The 14,973-nt window shown below is 39.7% G+C and overlaps 1 protein-coding gene across 5 annotated transcripts in view, besides 1 other annotated feature; it reads left to right on the plus strand.

Moving 5' to 3' along the window:
* WWC2 (WW and C2 domain containing 2) overlaps window positions 1-14,973 on the plus strand; it is a 221,521-nt gene that overhangs the window by 144,307 nt on the left and 62,241 nt on the right. For all 5 annotated transcript variants that reach the window (NM_001410864.1, NM_024949.6, XM_024454225.2 and 2 more), the window contains 4 exons: window positions 1,853-1,982; window positions 5,151-5,297; window positions 6,357-6,430; window positions 10,194-10,436. In NM_001410864.1, coding sequence (NP_001397793.1) covers window positions 1,853-1,982; window positions 5,151-5,297; window positions 6,357-6,430; window positions 10,194-10,436 — 594 coding nt within the window. The remainder of the gene's footprint in view (window positions 1-1,852; window positions 1,983-5,150; window positions 5,298-6,356; window positions 6,431-10,193; window positions 10,437-14,973) is intronic.
* Window positions 13,335-13,394: a silencer, noted in NCBI's record as "silent region_15826". NCBI's record gives its function as "represses an Ori minimal core promoter by ATAC-STARR-seq in GM12878 lymphoblastoid cells {active_cell/tissue: GM12878}" and the evidence as "EXISTENCE:reporter gene assay evidence [ECO:0000049][PMID:35858748]".

A 14,973-nucleotide genomic window follows, 5' to 3' on the forward strand; every position in this document is an offset into this window, starting at 1 on the left:
ATGTGGTAGTCATAAGAGCCCCAGTTCTGAATCTGTCATTTTAGGATAGTTCCCCTACTAGCTAAGTGTCTGTGCAATTTGGGGTATAAATTTGCATTAAGTTTCTCCCTTGCCTTCTTCATTTGGAAGAAATGTGACTAGGGGATCTTTAGGGGCCCTCCCCATTCTAAACACTGTGTGTGTGTGTGTGTGTGTGTGTGTGTGTGTGTGTGTGTGTGTGTGTGTGTGCATGTGTTTAATCTGTGACTTGATTGGTTGTACTTTATTATCAGATGATCTTATGATCAAGTTTATTTTATTTTCTTAGGTTCTTGAAGTCTTTAATTGCTTGTTCAGCAGCATAAGATAGTTACTAAAACAGTGCTTGGGGAAATACATTATCTATAAACCGCTCTTGTTTGAGTGGACTTTGTTTGGAAGAGTGATTAAGATGGCATTGCTTTATTTTTTTTCAGATTATACCTTTCACATTGAAAATAAGTATTAATTATTAAATGTTTTAAACCAAACGAGCTCAGAGCCTGTTTTCCCCGATTCAGTAGGTACTATTTCTCTGGAGACTCTGGATAAAACCAAAAATATGTCTAAGAACGTGTATAGAGTTGTTGGGTGGGGCAGAGGCATAGCCATATGTCCCACAAGGAGAACTCGTGCAGTATTCATAATGAATCCCAGATAGCACAGGCAGCTGGGGAGGACCAGGAGAGTGATCATGAAGAGTACATGAAACTATTTTTTTAAAAGAATTAGGTAATTCGATTAGGCCCTTCGAACACAAAGAATTAGGTTACGTGAAATCCTCTAGCCTAAGGTGACGATGTAAACTGCAAGGACACTTGGTAAGCAGCTCTGCAGGGATAATAAATTAGCTCATTGAAGAGCTGTTTATTCAATATGAGTTGAGAAATGACTACTGCCCTTCTGCCGTTTTCCTAAGTTTGAACTCATCCAGCAAGTCAAGCAATTTTATCTTGACTCATAACTTTCATAAAAGCAGAATAAATATTATATATATATATATAGAGAGAGAGAGAGAAATAAAAACTAACCACACAATCCAAACATTGTAGGATACTCACTAGTATAAATAATAATTTACTTATTAACCATTTATTAAAGGCCTCCCAAGCTGCAGGCCCTGTGCCAGGTTTTGCACAGACATTACAGCAAAACATTATGTAAATCAGGTGGCAGTTTACTTGCCTCTGTGTTCTTCAGCTAAAGCATTTGCCCACGTCTTTTACCTTTCTTGGGTGAAGATCAGGATCAGCACTTGATAAGGTTTGGGTTCAGCCAGCAGTGGGATCATTCAAACAGATTGAAGGCAAAAAGACATGCGTTTGTTTGAGCCCAAAAGTGATTAGAAATGGACTGGGTTTGAAGTGAGGGATGGGAGAAATCTTAGCCGCCTGTGATTAAAAGAGAAAGGAGGGGCTGAGACGTGCGGATCACGAGGTCAGGAGTTCAAGCCTGGCCAACATGGTGAAACCCCGTCTTTACCAAAAATACAAAAATTAGCCGGGCATCGTGGCGGGTGCCTGTAATCCCAGCTACTTGGGAGGCTGAGGCAGGAGAATTACTTGAACCCAGGAGGCGTAGTTTGCAGTGAGCTGAGATCACGCCACTGCACTCCAGCCTGGGCGACAGAACAAGACTCCATCTAAAAAAAAAAAAAAAAAAAAAAAAGAGAGAGAAAGGAGGAGAAACTGCCTGAAAAGATGATTGCTGGTATATGACAGTCAGCAGTGAAATAATCATCCAACTGAGACAATTCCAAACCACTTCCTACTCTCTGTTTAACTTATATGCTATCATTCTTTGATATTTTTTCTTTCTTTTTCTCTTTTCACAGAATTGATAAAAAAATGTCTGGAGGCCAGAGCGGGTATGAACTCAGTGAAGCCAAAGCCATTCTAACAGAACTAAAATCTATCAGAAAGGCAATTAGCTCAGGAGAAAAAGAAAAACAAGATCTGATGCAGGTACATTATAAAACATTTTGTTAAGCCAAACTTCTACCTTCTGAGGCCCCCAGAAACTCTTACTGGGGCAGAAGTGCTCCCTCAGAGTCTGGATGACCCTTCTACCTCTGCCACATTTGTGCAGAATGGGCCCTGTGGAGATTGTTGCAGGCACAAAGGTAGCCTGCTGCCTTGGAGGAGAGCAGAGTGATTCCAACTGACTGGTATGCTTCGTTGTAAGCAGCCTTTGGATGGCCTTTGAGATAGTGGGTGGTGGGGCCTGGAGCTCATGTGAGGAGATTAACATCTTGGTGCACCCTGAAACTCACTGAAAACTTCATATGAGTCCCCAGTAAGCAGAATTCTCAGCCCAGGATACACAAGGGATATATCATTTGCCATCAGTAAGTAGAAGGCTTGCCTTTTGGGGATGAGGCTATGTGAGGAGCTTAGAAAAGTTTTCCGACCCAGTTGATTCTGGGGTGCCAGCTAAGGGTGGGGCGGGGAGTGCTGACCCAGCTGGGGGATGCCTATACAGTTACCCTAGCAAAGCTGCCAATGGCCATAGATCCCCTTACTAAACCTGTTCACTTCTCAGCCTGTGGGTCTTAACTCCCAGTGATCCAGCATCATGTGTAGAAAACACAAAATAGCCGTTAAGTGATCAGTATTCTCAGTATCTATACTATCAAATACAGTCAAGTTTTTTTTTAAGGGTGTCTCTCTTCCTCTCCTTCCCTCCATCCCAAACACTAAGAATTCTTATTTCGTATATTTGGAGTTCTTACTTAGCTGAGGGATAATTTAGTCCGCATCTATGGGAAAATGTTAGAGTCACTGATGATGTTTACATTCTCAATAGAACATCTACATTTAAATACCATATTTAACTACTTGATGTTGGTTTTCAAAATATTAGTTGAATATAGATAAATATTCTTGGATCCATATAATTTTGCATTACTTGCAAGAAGAATATAAAATAATATAGAAAAGACAAAATAATAATAGCATGTAATTGTAAATACTGACTTTGTGCCAGACATTCTTCTAACTGCCTTGCATATAAATAATTCCCTTGATCCTCACAACAGCCACTAAAGGTAGGCACTGTTATTATTCTCAGCTTACAGACGAGGAAATTTCAGCACAGAAAAATTAAAGTTTCTTAAAGTCATACAGCTGGTAAGTAGCAAGACTATGGTTCAAACCCAGGCAGTCTGGGTTAACGTGGTTTTAACATACATATAACACATGCAAGACTTTACTTGTGTGTATTTTGGTTTTGTTCCACAATTGTCTTGCTGATTAAGTCAGTCATTCCAGAAATGCATGTAGTAGGTCCTTTAAAAAAAAAAGTTAATAGAACTGGAGCAAATCTACATTGGAACCTTCTAATTCAACAATTTTAGGTCATCTTTCATTCTTCCTATAAACTTTGGATTCATCTGCAGGCCTGATTAAATTAAAAGATTAGATCCCTTTTCAGTTACTAAATTACATTAATTAGTAGATGCAGAGATTGACAATAGAGTTAGAAGAAACTTTAGATATCTTCTGTGACTTTCAAACCTCTTTGACCACAGTAAGAAATAGATTTTACATCAAAACCCAGTAACACACAATTGTGTGTACCTATAGATACACAGGTGTGCATGCACGCGCACACACACACATACACACTCCAAATGAATTTCACAGAAATATGCCTACTCTTAAACTGGTGATGTACTCTGATTTTATTTTCTAGTATCTTCTATTTCATTTAAAAAAATACTAGTAACAACCTACTAAATTGATAGAATGCATTGCCATCACAGATGAGTTTGAAGAACACTGACTTTTTTTCACTGTATAGATGGAAAAATAGAAAAGACTTGCACAAGGTCACTAAAAGGTTTTTTTGTTCTTTTCTATATTATTTGATGTGACCATTTAAGTTTTATCCTCATATATATATACTATATATACTATTTATACTATATATACACTATACTATATATATACTATATATACTATATATATACTGTATATACTATATATGCTCTATATACTATATACTATATATATGCTATATATGCTATATATACTATATATACTATATACTATATATACTATATATACTATATACTATATATACTATATATTATATGTACTATATTCTATATACTATATATACTATATGTACTATATATACTATATACTACATATATACTATATATACTACATAATATATATATAATATATATACTATATATATATTATATATATAGTATATAGTATATATATCCCTTTGAGAGAAAATAGAGAAAGTTAGGTAAAAAATTTCAGATCTCTGATATTTCTAATTCCTCCTAATCATGAAAATTTTAAATATCAGGATTAAATACAGGCTCTTTTGTTGATAATAATGGTTTCTTATCATTTTATTAGGATTACCCTAGGGTTTCCTTTTTATTGTTTTAAGTAATTCAGATTAGTCTTTCCTTTTCAATACTTTCACTTGTTCATATCCTCCCTCTAAAGTAAACACAGTTTATTAAACCTGAGTGCCCACAGCAGGCACATTTGCTTTTGATTATTCTCTTTACCAAGCCAAACATGTCACCACAGGCAGTGCCATGCAGTAGACACACAGATGGGCTTGTTCCATGCCTGTGCCACTCATTAGCAACTTCTGAGCCTCAGTTTCCTAATCCCTAACATTGATGTGAGCTAAATAATCTCTTGGGTCCTGTCCAGATGTACAATGGCTTAATTGAAGAAGTCTTCAAAGTAGGAAGTTCTTTTACTGTATCTAAAATGAGAGATTATGTTATAGATATTCTGTTTCCACAATTTCAGCTGCATGAAGTGAGTGGGTTCCTATTGAAATAGAGATAACTTCTTAATGAAATTTTTAGAAATAAGACATGCATGTATTTTAAAGATACCGTTCATAGGAAAATGCTGTTTTGAGATAGATAAGACAACTGGTTTAATATGATCTCGCTTCCAAAGTCACATGTATGGAGGTGCAAAATTATATCCTGCTGTTATTTTTTCAATTATATAAAATGGTAAGTACCTACTAAAATAAAGTTGTTTTTTTCCATTGAGATTAGCTCTTTCCTTTTAATTTCACCTGGTAGGGAAGGTTTGCTGTCTTACTTGTTAAGCTTTATGAAACACTTTGTGTTTTCTGAACAGAGTCTTGCTAAGCTGCAGGAGCGGTTTCATTTGGATCAGAACATTGGCAGATCTGAGCCAGATTTGAGATGTAGTCCTGTGAACTCTCATTTATGTCTCTCCAGACAGACCCTTGATGCTGGGTCACAAACAAGCATTTCCGGAGATGTAAGTTATCTGTGCTGAAGAGTTGGCCCAGTGTTGTCCTTGATGGGCCTTAATTGCAATATGGATGGTGAACTGGAACCAGAAGTATATGTGACTTGGATTCTGGCTGTGTGCATTCAGTGTTCCATTTTCGTAAGATTAGTTTTAAAAATCATAGCCTTATCTTTTCTATCTAGGTGCCAAGTATGTCAGGATTTGTCCATATGAGTAGCTTTGTTCAAACTTTCTCATGCTATATTCCTTTAGAGACACGCTGAAAGGCTAGAGGCATATGAGAATTTAACTTTTTCCTATTACGTTTAGAGTCTTGGAAATGTAGGTCCTTTCAAATAAACATTAGGCCAATGAGAAACAGAAAAACATGCCTTTTAAGACTAATAAGAAAACTTGTTTTTGTAAATCTTAATTGATTATATTAAAATGTTTAATTTGTGATTTATATCTGCCATTTAAATATTTAATGTGGCTTGGCTATTGTTAACTATTTTACCTTCTCCATTTTGGGATGCCATTAGCAGGTATTTACTTCTCAATACATTCCCATTTCTTTTCATATTCTTTTATGCTGCTTTGAAATATGTGCTGTGAAAGTAAAACAGGTAGAGATCAACAGTAGGGCTTACCTGTTTGAAAATTAATTTTTGAACTTATTTAGTTTATATTTTGTACAGTTGAAAGCTAAATGCTAGAAATTAGGCTCATAAAGGCAAAAAAATTAGTTCCAGTTCATAAATTTTATTGACCTGTACACCCTTCATAAACTCTGAGATACCAGACACATTTACCTTGGTATTTACAGTATCAGGATATTTTTTATCTTGAATTTAACGTGTAGAGAAAATAATGTTAGAGTCTTTGAAAAACAGATGAGCTTGAATTGAAAGAAATGTTTTGCCCCTACTGAGACAATAAAATAAGTGTCTTTTAAAATTGGTGTTTCCCGATTTCAGTACCATCTTCTTTAACTTTTCAATTACACATACTTCCCAGAAACAAAAGCAATTTACTTCATTCATTAGCAGAGTTAATTGACTTTTTTCCTTTTTCTTTTTCCACTAGATTGGAGTAAGAAGTAGATCAAATTTAGCTGAAAAGGTCAGGCTAAGCCTACAGTATGAAGAAGCCAAAAGAAGGTAATGACAGAGAAGCTGTTTTGTGCATGGCTCAAACATTTTCTTTTCCAGAATTAATCTTTACTCCTGTGGTGACATCTGCTGGGCACTCCCCATACATTCTTACCAAGGCCACCCTTCGGTTTTAGCATGTCAGGGCTGCTTCCTCTCTGGTCTACCTTTTCTTCCCCCCGCCCTCCACCCCCCAACCACCAAAAGCTAAAGAACAGGGAGAATTAGTGAGAAGTATACAAATGAACTTGCCCCCTTCTCCTCTGAGAAAAAAGAAGCTTTGAGTTGGTACAATACTTAACTCTCAATTAAAAGTGAGAAGATTGGTTGCTTTGATGGAAATATGATACAGTGGTTCAGGTATAGGACTAAATAGCTGTTGAGGAGTTCTAAGGCAAATAAGTATTGATTTATTTGCCTTTGATTTGAAGGGAAGTCTTACTGCTAATGTCCTTGAAGGTGCTGAGGTGGCAGTTCCAGTCGACTTAGGTTAGGGAAAAGGAAGAGAGATTCTCATTTCTCTCTTTTACCTCATAAACTCTTCTTAATCCCTGTGCTATCTTTTACTTACTTTGTGATTCTGCTGGAGTGAGACATAAGAAACTTCCGTCTCAACAACAACAACAAAAAAGAGATTTCACTATCCGTATCTAGTAGATAGACTCAAATACTTTTCATAATATAGAACTCCTTATTATGAGGGAAAGGATTATACTGATACATTTGATTTCATTATTTTCCTCATAAGAGCTTTAAAATGCCATTGGGTTATTATTTAGGAGGACATTGGGAGAAACTGCATTATCGTCCTGCAAGAAACAGGAATTTATCATGTTTCTCCCCATGACCATGAAAAGCTCAGCTGAGAACCAGATATTGAAGTATATTCCTTATTATTGGTGATGATGATAACTTAAAAGCAATTGGCCGTAGTCCTTAGAGGTTATCAGGCTTTAACAAAGTAAAATAAATACAATATTCACCTCTATGTAACCTGTATTCTTAATATTACTTGGTTCCTCACTTCCTGAAAGAAACCTAAGCTTCATTCCACAAATTATTAACCATGTGAGCTTGAACAAGTCACTTAGGCGATCTGAACAGCAATTTACTCAGCTAATTTTAATGCCTTTAAATTTTCTCTGGGAGATTCTAAATTTCTTCAGGTTAGGGAAAAATGTTTAGGCTTTATTATCTCCTTCTCAGTGCCCAGATTAGTGCCTTCCCTTCAATAAGTATTGAGGATCAACTTCTGGTTTTGTGGCCCGGCAATGTGCCAGCTTTCGGTAGATAGTGCCTGTGGTCCCCTTGTTGTGTGTCCACCTGGGCAGGGCTGTGGACAAAGCCATGAATTTGGTCTGCTTTTCTGAAAGAGAATGGCCATTACTCAGAAGCAGTCTTGGAGAACTGGGCCTTAAGCCCCTGCATTCTTTCGGGCTTGACTCTTGCTTCCCATGGATCAGCTTCAACTTTCACCCTCCTTTGACTTCTAAGTGAATTTTATCTGGAGCTCACATCACATTTCTCTTCCTAGGTGCTTCTAAAACTCTTCTTCATATTCTGCTCCCCAAATTTGGAACACTCCTTCTAAAATAAAATTTAAGACCTGCCTAATGTCTGATGACACAAATAATAAACGGGCGCCTCTTTTTCCTGTATTATGTTATTGTTCCTGGTTCAGTTGGTTAATTCAGTCACATCAAAACTTCAGACATTGGTTCTTTCCCACTTGGTTGCATTGGCGTGCCATTTGGGGTTTTGTTTTAAAGTTACTAGTGATGCTGATGAGAAAGTAAATCTCAAGCGCTTATGCATATGTTGAAAATGCTTTTTCCTCCTCAATTCTGATTAAGTAAAGAGGCAGGTTGTGTTTCTCTGAAATCTGTTTTCTCCTCCAGCCCTTATTTTATGTGCTTAATGAAGCTAATAATATCATGCTTATTTCGCATTTTGATGATTAATTTTCTAGTATGTTGAGACAGTTGTTTATGATTTTGTGGTTAAAGCTGAAGAATAGCTGATGTTACTTAAATCTATCATAAGTGCAGATGGGGGGAGAAAATCAGAAGTACACTGCATACACCGTGCCACTCTAACATGCAATTTTATTTTTAATTAGAACAAGAAACTTATGGCACAAAGGTATAGATCTACTTCCATCTTTGCTCTTGATTATGTTTTTCATTCACCTTTTCTCTTCCCTTCTACAAGTTCTCCCATGAAAATGGGAAAGTATTTCTTTTCTGTTTTTCGTATTTTGGTGTGTACTGTTAACAATATCCAAAGTAATCATCCAACGTTTTTCTGTAGAAACATAGATTCCTTGTGCAGACATCAGTGGAGTTCATAGTTCACTGAGATCTTGTCGTTATGGTCGAAAGAACCATGTGCCGCTTACCTTATGAACAGTCCTCATTGTCTTTACAGTGCCACGTAGCAAGTTATTTGACTCAGGTGGTTAGGACATTCGTACTGAGTCGGGGGTAATGTTAACTCTACCATGTGTTACGAAGCTCTAGACATAAGAGAAATCTGGGGTCAGGCAAAATTATGGAAACAGTGAGGTTTGCCTTTGGTGCATTTTCCTCCTCCTTCTCCTGTCCCTGTCCACATCACTTCAGCACCTGTTGTCACTCCAGTGGTGTCATGCCAGCTGCCTGTACTAGTGAAGGTCCACCGTATGCTGCCTGCAAATAGCTGTGTACAGAGCAACCACAGGGCTAGCACAATAATGTATAAAGTGTCAGTGCAATGACTGCTCAGTAAATGGCTTGTACACCAGTCGGGGCACTGATGGGGAGGAGACTCACATGCAGCTTAAGGAGAATGTGAACGGGAGAAGGCCAAGCCCTGCCCCTTCTCTTTGGCAATGGGGGAGCCTTGATGGATCAACCCCTGACTCCCTCCCAGGGTCTTGCTCTGTCACCCAGGCAGGAGTGCAGTGGCGCAGTTATGGCTCACTGTGGCCTCAAACTCCTGGGCTCAAGTGATCTCACCTTAGCCTCCCAAGGAGCAGGGACCACAGGCACACACATCACCACACCTGGCTAATTTTTAAAATCTTTAAAATATTTTTGGTAGAGACAGGGTCTCGCTATGTTGCCCAGGCTGGTCTCGAACTCATGGCCTCACATGATCGTGCTGCTTGTCCTCCCAAAGTGTCAGATTACAGGCATGAGCCACTGCACCTGGCCCAACTGCTTTCATACCAGTTGGCCACACCACTGCTCTCTTTGCTGCTCTCTCCTTCCCTGACTTACTAATGCCCTAGTCTCTGTCCAGCCTGCCCTGGGGTTCCCATTTTACTAGCGGACAGCATCTAAAACACATTGGAATAAAATGTATAGTGATGGCATCTCAGACATCATTCACCTCAGTTTTTTTAAAGGGAACCCCCCAGGCATCTTTCCTGTCACCTACACAGGCAGTCACACGTCAGAGCTGGCCTCTCGTGGCGCCCAGAGCACTCAGCTTTTGAAGCCTCTGTGTACTTGGCCTTCACCCTTTTGTCAGGTAGCTGGGTATGCTCACTCACATTTTAAAGATGGGGGAAAGAAGTGGGTGACAGCTGAGTGCAGAGACAGGCCCAGAGACTGGTGTGCAAGGCTGCTGCTCCCACTCCGGCCTCTCACCAGTAGACCACACCTCTTTCTGGTAAGGTCAAGTTAGGAAAATCTGGACAGCATGTCAACACCAAATTTGGCTTAGGCTGTGTTTACCTTTCTCAGGAGTTTTAAGTATGTGCATACCTCTTCTATCTTTTTTTTTTTAGTATGGCCAACTTAAAAATTGAACTGTCAAAATTGGACAGTGAGGCCTGGCCTGGGGCACTGGATATTGAGAAGGAAAAACTGATGCTGATTAATGAAAAAGAAGAACTTTTGAAAGAGCTTCAGTTCGTCACCCCACAGAAACGTACCCAAGATGAATTAGAACGCCTAGAAGCTGAAAGGCAGCGGCTGGAAGAAGAGTTGCTGTCTGTGAGGGGAACACCAAGCAGAGCTCTGGCCGAGAGGTTTGTTTTCCTTCTGGAAATAGGGCAGCTTAACTCTTGTGGGGGTGTCTTAACTGGATACTATTTTCCCTGGGTTTGGAAATCTCAATTGCATCTGTTCTTAGTGGACTGAGAAACAGCACAAATGGACTTTCTGTAGAACAATAAAGTGCACCATCCTAATGCCCGACAGGATAAGTTCTGTGTTTTAGGAACGTGCAAAACCTGTGACAGATGTTGAATAACTAAGGAATGCTGACATAAAACCAGGAATGTACATCATTGATGAAGTCTGATAACAATAGCTATAAACTATTGCACTCCGATAAGAAAAATTATCTAGACTGTTAGAGCAACTGAAGCTTCCTATTCTGGGTTTTATTACTCACAGGAATGCAAAAGTTTATTGCTAGTCATTTCACGAGGAAAAGACAGCTTCCTCCCTGTGATACCCTAACAGGTCACAACGTACTCACTTGCATTTTGTTTGTCAGTTGCATCCCTCCCGTGAAACAGGTGAAACTGTAAAGGAAAATACTCTAGGCAATTTTCCCATCTTTCTCTGGGAAGGTGTGAGTTGATTATTCCATCTAAAAAAATCCAGTTCTGCAAAACAGATCAGCTGGAATGTTAAGTGAAGGGACCTCTGTGTGTCAGTTTGACATGAACGCATCTGCATAAGAGCCTGGGTCCAGGCCTTGATGGCAGAATGGGTTGGATACCTGTTTCAGGACAGACCAGAGAGCCGTTGAGAACGACCGCATGTACATCCTTTAGGCCAGCCAGTAAACAGCAGTGCCTGTTTCAGGGTGATGGGAAAGAAATTCACATTGATATAATTTCAAGTGACCTGGAAGTAAGTTTAAAACACCCAGCCATAATCCAGTTGCTTCAAAAAAAAAAATTGTGGCGTCTTGCCTTCTAATTCCTTGTCCTCAATAAATGTTAGGGTTGCATGGCTACATAATATCAAAACATTTGAAAAGCAGGGGGAGGGAGAGAGGAAGACGTCTCTGACATTCCCAGGTAGGTGTTAGCATGGGGACTCACCCACCCCAACGTTAACCGTTTTAGGAGAGTTGACTTCTGTGGGTTAAAATGTTGATCAAGGTAACACGCAGCCTCAGTGTCATAGCTGTAGGGAACATGAAAACGTATCAAAAGGAAAAGCCTCTGAACTATAATCTTCTGCCCTCTTAATAATTCTCATCTTTGCCTCCATTTCCCCTTCTTTTCTTCCCTTCTTGTTCTGGCTTTTCTGTCTAATTTTGCTGACCAAACGGTCAGCCTGAGGGAAGTGTCAGCCAGGCTGGCAAAGCAAGGCCCCATCTGACAAAGACCAAAAGGAACAAAAAGAGTAAGAAGGCAAGGGAGAATTAATTTGTTTTTGTTGTTGTTGTTGCTGTTGTTTTTCTGAATTACCCTGATGTGTCTAAATTTGTATACCTAAAGTTTCTAGCTACGGATAGTCATCAGTAGCTATGATGAAATGGGTAGCTTTTATGTGGCCCATGTATAAAACAGCAATGATGTTTCATACTACTACATAGCATTTACATATTATAAAATTTTATATAATCATACGTGTCTAATGTGCCACGTCCATCTCAGCTGTTCTACTTTGTAGTAGGTGAATCTAGGAAGGACTTACAAACAGATTTGTTCTGGCAGAGAAAGAAGACATATTTGTTTGTCTTAGTTTTTATTGAGGTGGCGTCTTGCTTGCCTTTTTTATTAGGAGTAGAGCTTCCAAAAAATGACTCATGATATAACATTAAAGATAGCAATTTGTTCCTGAGAACCTAAACTTTGACTTTTTCCTAAGTACCTAAACTTTATACTTTTGTTTGCACACACATAGTAACTCAAAATTCCAGTGAAATAGGAGGCTTTTTTTCCTTTTTTTTTTTTTTAACGAACAGCCCAAACCTCACCAGAGACAGTAGGCTTGAACTCATTAGGAAGAGGAGCTATAAGATATTTATTTTAAAAATTATTTATTTAGTGAGATCCAGCCACTGGGTTTGTGTCATCTGGGGAGTAAGTGGTGTGGATATGATACCTCCATGGCCCTGTCTCCCATGATTGGATGTTAGCAGGAAGGGAAACATGTATTTTATATATGTAGTATGTTGACTTTCTGAGTTACCTGGAAGAGCCAGGTCATTTAGTATTCCAAATAAGTGGATACTAGTTTCCTTATCAGTGTCTATGGCCAAAGGCAAATCCTCATACTTACATTGCCATCAAAGGTTGAAGGACTCAGACATTCTTGCTTGATCAGCTTAAAGCTTTCTAACTCCTATCCTGGGATGCTCAAAGTGACTCAGTAGTTCACATGTCCAGAAGAGCAGAACCTGCTGCCATTGGGAACACTGAATCCTTTCTTTCCCAAGTAGATACAACCTCGTCTGGCTTTGGGTTTTGCTGTTGCTATTATGGTTTTGCTTTCTATTCCCCCATGCTCTGGCATTTTTTCTTATGGCTTCACCCTTTCGTGTCTTCCTCCTGTGTGTGTGGGTTTCTGCTCTGCTCATTGCTGCTGTTGCACTGACGCCGGGAGTTTAAGAGGGAAGAGAACGCCCTTGCCAGCAGTGTCTCCTCAGTGTCAAAGCAGGGCTGGCTGGAGCTTCTTTTGGGAAGTAGGATTTGCTGTGTGAAACTCAGTTTCATCATAGAACAGATTGTGTGCCACCAACCCCAAATCCTTCCTTTTCTTCTTGGTACCTACATGACTGTCAAAGCTACCTGCCGTATTCCCCAACATATTCCTGTTTTCCACTTATATTTGGGGTTCCCATTATTTCAGGGGTGACCTCTGGCAAGATTCCGAGTCATTGCTGAACGTTGGTGTCTGAAGGAGCTAGATGCACATGAATTTTCAGTCTCTGAGTGTGATCCTACAGCCCCCCCCCCCCCCCCCCCGGCTCTGTTCCTGCCCCCACAGGGCTGCAGTGTCGCCCACTGGGCCTGATGGCAGCGACTGTGCTCGCCACCTGGTGGTGGGAAAGAGGTGCTCATGGTGAAGCATTGCCAGGCCTAAAGAGAAATTGCTCGCAAATGAAAAAAACCATGCAGGGAAGGTGTTTCTATGCATCTTTCGTATTCTTCCCATGCAGTTATTGAAATTCCTTAAACTCTGTGCTTTCCTATAGCTGGTAAGATCTTAACATTGCTCCTTGTTTTATCACAAGTGTTGGGGGTTTGCCTTGTAATTGCCAAGACGTCTTAATTGTTTCTTAATTATTTGAATGTTTTTGCCACTGCTTCTGAAAAATTTTTTAAAGCAAATAGGTGGGGGCATGAGTGTCACTTAGTTTTGAGTGGAAAAGGGACTTCCTGCTTCTATAGATGACATGAAATTTTCCCTAGGTGCAGAATTCTGAGTTCAGGAGAAACCAGGCTGTGCTTCTCTCCTGCAGGGCACTGAGGGCAGAGTCAGGCAGGTGTGAAGGCCCACACTTCACAAAGGGCAGCTTGAAAGGGGATGTGGAGCAGATGGGCCAGGGGGAGGAATCTTTTAAGGGCCAAGTAGAGGAAACCCTTTCTCATCCAGCAGACCAACAGGCAGGAGTTGGAGAAGAACCTAGAGAGACAGGTGTGCACCCTTTTGAGAGGGCTGATGTCTGCAATTTCTTCTAACCCCTGGTTATGGGGAAGTTGGGGAGAGCATTTCACATGAAATACACGTGGATTCTGAGGAAGACTTCAGGCTTTCGCTAGGAGAGGCTTTGGTGATAACATCAGAGACAAACTGCGGCCCACTAGGAGGGTTTCTGTGCCTCTCCCCAGTGCCTTCCTCATGCTTCTCCCAGGGAAGGTTTCATCTCAACACCAGCAAGAACGGAGGGACTGGCCAGGGCACCCTGTGCTGCAGGGAGAAAGGGCTGATGTCTGCATTCTGGGATTGTAGGAGCTAAGTGGGAAACGTGAACAAGAACACAAAGACAGGCATCTGTGGTTCAAAGCAGACATTAAAGGGCTGGAAGAGCAGCTGCCGAGCATCACCTGGAGAAGGCTGAGGACGCTCCCTAGTGATGGAGAAGGGACAGCACTGAAAGTGTGGCTCAGGGTCACATTCTGACGTCATCCTGGTGCCTCCTGAAAGCATTAGAAAAAGGCTTCATTTTAATAAAAGCAATATTGAGTTTTAAAACTTCCTTCCGAAGTGTTTCTCTTGTTTCAGAAGACATGGATTTTAGTAGAGTTTGGGGCTTTCTTCAGACCTTTGTGCACTTTTAATTCAGTTAGTCTACTTCATATTACTTTTTTCCTCGTTGAGTTTTTATTTATATTTGAAAGATTTTTAAAATGACCGCTGCTTTTAAAAATACACCTTTGAAAGCCATGAATTAAGAATTTATCGCGCTTTTGAAGTATTAAAGAAAATGGCAAGAATTACTTTTTTTAGTTTAACATATAATGGAATAGTGTTGTTGACACATCAAAGGGATAGATACCTATAAATAAAATATGGGCATGTTTCCTTACTGCCAAAAACATATATAACATTTCAAAGAGATTAGAAATTAAGGAAATTTTATTTTTCTCCAAAGAA

Source organism: Homo sapiens, chromosome 4 (genome assembly GCF_000001405.40).
Source record: "Homo sapiens chromosome 4, GRCh38.p14 Primary Assembly".
NCBI classification, from domain to species: Eukaryota; Metazoa; Chordata; class Mammalia; order Primates; family Hominidae; genus Homo; species Homo sapiens.